The sequence below is a fragment of the Homo sapiens genome, chromosome 5, assembly GCF_000001405.40.
Source record: "Homo sapiens chromosome 5, GRCh38.p14 Primary Assembly".
Lineage (NCBI taxonomy): Eukaryota > Metazoa > Chordata > Mammalia > Primates > Hominidae > Homo > Homo sapiens.
Genome location: NC_000005.10, coordinates 93,342,680 through 93,348,192, shown reverse-complemented (window position 1 = coordinate 93,348,192; position 5,513 = coordinate 93,342,680).

Sequence of the window (5,513 nt, the reverse complement as noted above, 5' to 3'; positions counted from 1 at the left end):
GGATTTTGACCTAAGACTTATGTGCTAAAAGTCAGCGCCGGGGCATTGTCTCTGGTGCATCTTGATGCAAGCCTGGTTGAGTGGAGTGAGCACCGGACTAGGAGTCCTCAGGAGAAAGGAGTCTGGTGCTCGCTCTGCTTCTACCTGACCGCGTGACCTTGGCCACGTCCCTCTCTTGGTAGCTACAATGTGCAGCAGGTGGACGGAAACTTCTTGGAGTAGCCAGTTTGGGGAACTGGAAGTGGAGTTGAGGGGTGAGGCAGATTTGTCCACAGGCAGCAGCACACCGTCCGAAGCACCATTAGCCACGGTCTCCCCGCACTGCAGCCATCACAGGGAGGGACCTGCAGCAGCATGGCAGGCAGGAGACAGACACCTTATGGAGTGTGACAAATGAAAAATTTTAAAACGACATTTACTTTTACAAGTCAGACATTTAAGTGGATCCTTTTTATGGAACATTTTCAATTTTTATGTCACCTAAGAGACTTCAGCATTTCTCTCAATTCTTCTTCACATTAAAAATGAATTATAGTCTCATCCATTTTCAAAAAGAATTTGGGGGAATTTGTAAAACAGACAAAGACCACATGGGCCCTGAGACAGTCCAGTAGCTGGAGCTAGTTTCTCCCTTTAATTGATACACTGGTACTGGTGACTGAGGAAAAGAAATAAAATGTCAACCTTTTAGTGTGAACCTAGTGCTTGGGACCATTAGTAAATATTTTTACTGTCCCTCCCACCATTTAGTGTGCTTCTCAATGTTTGTTTGGGGAAAGTCACGTGGACAGGAATGAGGAAACAGTGGCTTCCTCGGGGCCAACACCCTGAGTCTAGAGTGCCCAGGCAGCTGCCTGATGCATCCCAGGACTCACAGCCACCATTTCATGAGGGCTTTGTGCCAGGCACGGTGTCTGTTCTCATTCATTTAACTCTCACACAGCCTTATGAGAAAAGCCATCCCATTATTGGGTATATGCCCAAAGGATTATAAATCATGCTGCTATAAAGACACATCATACACACGTATGTTTATTGCAGCACTATTCACAATAGCAGAGACTTGGAACCAACCCAAATGTCCATCAGTGATAGACTGGATTAAGAAAATGTGGCACATATACACCATGGAATACTATGCAGCCATAAAAAAGGATGAGTTCATGTCCTTTGTAGGGACATGCATGAAGCTGGAAACCATCATTCTCAGCAAACTATAGAAAGGACAGAAAACCAAACACTGCATGTTCTCACTCTAGGTGGGAACTGAACAATGAGAACACTTGGACACAGGGTGGGGAACATCACACACAAGGGCCTGCTGTGGGGTCAGGAGAAGGGGGAGGGATAGCATTAGGAGATATACCTAATGTAAAAGATGAGTTAATGGGTGCAGCACACCAACATGGCACATGTATACATATGTAACAAACCTGCACGTTGTGCACATGTACCTTAGAACTTAAAGTATAATAAACAAACAAACAAACAAACAAACACACGAAAAAGAAAAGCATTGTTTTGTCATCTGGATTTTTCACATGAGGTATCAGGCTCTAACACGTTAAACAACTCGCCCTGCACACAGCTCAAAACCCAGGGTTCTGGTCCAGAGTCCTTGCTAGAGACTGGTCTTCTATCCTGTTTCCTCATGGCACTGGGCTGGCCCCTGACCTTTCTGTCTGGTTTTTATTATGTAGGTTCATGACTAACATCTCAGCAGACTCTGTAAACTATGCTACTACATGTAAGTTTCTTGACAACAGAATCCAGGCTCAGTTTCGTATTTAAGAGTTATTAATGTTATATTATATCAGTGTTATATTAATGTTATATTTGCTGGGTGACTGAATTGAATCGAATGATTAGGCCTCTGTGCATTCTGCACTTCAGAGAAGAATGAAAAAATGCCAGCTTTCTTTCATGGTCTGCAGCACCGGTCGGGCAATGCCATTCTCCCTTGCCCAGTCAGAGAACATCAGATTCCAGAATTTTGCCATCATGTGATTCATCCAGCCAATAGCAATGGACAGAATAAGGAAAAAAGCCATTGTTCTAGATTTATCTGGATTGAGATATAGTTACTTGTGGCTCCTGCAATAAATGCTTAAACTAGTTCTGGAGTTTTTCCCCTAGTACTGTCAGCCATCTTACACATGGCCATAAACAAACCAGAAAGTGGCCGGGCACAGTGGCTCATGCCTGTAATCCCAGCACTTTGGGAGACCGAGGGGGGTGGATCATGAGGTCAGGAGATCGAGACCATCCTGGCTAACATGGTGAAACCCTGTCTCTACTAAAAATACAAAAAATTAGCCGGGAGTGGTGGCGGGCACCTGTAGTCCCAGCTACTCGGGAGGCTGAGGCAGGAGAATGGCACAAACCCAGGAGGCGGAGGTTGCAGTGAGCCGAGATAGCGCCACTGCACTCCAGCCTGGGTGACAGAGCAAGACTTCGTCTCAAAAAAAAACAAAACAAAACAAAACCAGAAAGCACCAGGAAGACGGAAACAGGCTTGTGAGGGGCCTGGAAACTAGATTTTGTGAAGAATGGGGGAAGGGACTGGGAACATTTACCTTAGCAAGAGAAGCTTTCATCTGCATGAGTCATATTATAATTCATGTGGTCTTTTATGAATGAGTAAATTAATTTGTGTAATATTTCAGCTCACAAAGTTCATTTTCTCAGTATTCCCTGGCACGCTGAAATATAGGACAAAACATCCTCACCACAGTTATTTTAAGAAGTTATAAAGCAAGGCTGGGTGCGGTGGCTCACGCCTGTAATCCCAGCACTTTGGGAGGCTAAGGTGGGCGGATCACAAGGTCAGGAGATCGAAACCATCCTGGCTAACACGGTGAAACACCGTCTGTACTAAAAATACAAAAAATTAGCTGGGCGTGGTGGTGGGCGCCTGTAGTCCCAGGTACTCGGGAGGCTGAGGCAGGAGAATGGTGTGAACCCAGGAGGTGGAGCTTGCACTGAGCCGAGATCACGCCACTGCACTCCTGCCTGGGCGACAGAGTGAGACTCCATCTCAAAAAAAAAAAAAAAAAAAAAAGAAGTTAGAAAGCAAATACTGTATAACCTGTATCAGTTCTCTAGAACACAGTCAGGAATTTGATTCTCGTATTCACAGTTATTTTCCCAGCATTTAGAGCTGCATCAGGCATTGTTTAGGTGCTGGAAAATATTTGTTGAATGACTATAAATAAATGAAATGTGTGGATTGCTTAAAAACACTGTGAGTTCCTGAGAGAGATCTCGTTGCCTTCACTATTGATGGTTTATTCTAGCAGTTTAATTTTTTTTTAAAAAAGTGATGTTAAAAAAATAAAATCTTCGACAAAACTTGAATATACAGCTAAAAATATTTAAATTAATGTTTTCCTTATTTTACAGCTAGTCAATGATAACAATAAAGCTGTTATGTGACAAATCAAAAATCTGAAAGCCAGGACTCTGAGTGACAGTGGCAGCCGTATAGCAAAATCCAATTTATTTCTGCCTTTTTATTTTGCTTGCTCCATACTGTATCAAGAAAATATTGGTTTACACAGAAGTGGTTTGTTTTGCAATCTCAGAATACTCTTCAATGAAACTGACTGGGGAGCTTAAGAGAACTAATAGAAAATATTTGTTTCCAAGTTATATCATTAATAGTACAATATCTATTTGCTCACAAACATCATCATCCATTTGTCAGTTCCGAAGTGCTGCAAGCTTTACACAGTGGTAACAGTATTTACAAAAGGGATCCAAGCTAGGCATTCATTTGTTACTGACCACTAATTAGTCAACACATGCCAAGAAGAAGGGTGAAGGAGGGTGCCCTTCAGGTTTACCTGATCCTTGCCTAGATCCCTGCTATGGAGTGAACTTGGATGTCTGCACAAACACATTCTCCCAGGCTTGCAGAACCTTGGAATTCCAAAGAACATTGTTGGTAGGAGGGAAGGAGGTAGGTAGGAGAAAGAAAGCTTCATTAGTCCTTATAAATGGGACTTTGTCTGAATTAGGCATTTGTTCACTTGTATATTCCCAAGTGTCTGTTGAGTGTCTACCGTAAAGAAAGGGCTCCTCTTTAAGGGGCTTAAAATCCAGCTGTATATATAAAACTTATGTTAGGGAAAATGGAGCAGCCAATACAAATAGGATAATGTAGTTCAAATGACTTTGAAGGAATACAAAGAGAGTAATTGGTGTGGGGTGGAGATGGTTAGTGAAGGTTTCTCTACTTGCCAGTTCTTAGAATTGTTTTAAAATAGGAATATTCTTGGCACTCTTCACGTGGCTGTACATACATACACATCATGCAGAGTCACTGTTTTTCATGAAGGATTTAGTTATACAAACTCTGAGAAGTCAAGAGCAACGTCAAAGAAGAACATTCTTTGACTCAGATCTTTTGGGTTGGCTTTAACCGCATGTCATCCATTAATGACTGGCTCAACTTACTCTGGGTCAAAGTGAAAACATATATTAGCTCAATTGGTCTTTAAAATGTTTCACACATCATGAGTACTTTGAGTGATGGGGCACACTTTCTTCTACCCAGTAACTATAGGCTTATTTGAATTTGAATTTACTGACAAGTAAATATGTAAGTTGAATAGCTGGAGTTAAGGAAGCTCACAACCCCTCAATGGCAATGTTGATTTTTTTCTCCTCCCAGTGGTTTGAGAATATGGAGGGAACCTGAGAAATAAGGAAGAAAAAGCAATTTGAAATAAAATAAAATGTTTATAGACTTAAGACCATGAATAAACACCCATTTCATTTGCAGATACTATCACTTTTACACAGGAAAGAAAACTCTGTGATATTCTTCCCTCCTTCTCTTTCAGGCTATGACTGTATCATCATTGTTCAAATTATCATGACTTCCAGAAGGTAGAAAAGAATTAACAATCACTTAATTATTAATCACCTGTAATTGGAACTGAAGACTATAAAATGTAAAGGATGAGAAGCGAGCAGATTAGTGGAATGGGAAAGGAAGTAGGGCTGGGATAACTGCTTTGGGGTTAACTCTTTGGTAAAGCAACTCCTCTCACCTGACTTCCTGGCTGTCTCTCTGCCATGTGGCTTCCCGGGTGTACTCCTGCGGAAAGGAGGAGAGATGTGTAAGGCAAACTTGGTCATGGGGGTGCCAGGAACGGGGAGCTGTACTTTCCTGGTCTAGCTGGAGGCCCAAATCAAACAGCAGGTAAAAGGTCAAGTAAGGTCAATACCAACCAGCCCAGAGAGGCAGCAGCTGCTCTTTTGCCTCGAGTGCTTTTCAATTTGGAAGAACCGAGAAGAGCAGTTTCTCTCTGAATCACTGCTTTCCCAGGCTTATGAATTTCAGAACCTCTTGTACTTTCTGTTGCTTTCCCAACACGGACTTGTTTCAGGCTTCCCTGCACACAGATTGCAGTGATGTGGGCAAACAATTTTGACAAGATATGCAGCTTTGAGAAAACGCACTCTAGGCTTAAAAGGACATGCACTGTTGTTGGCCTCTTTGTAGG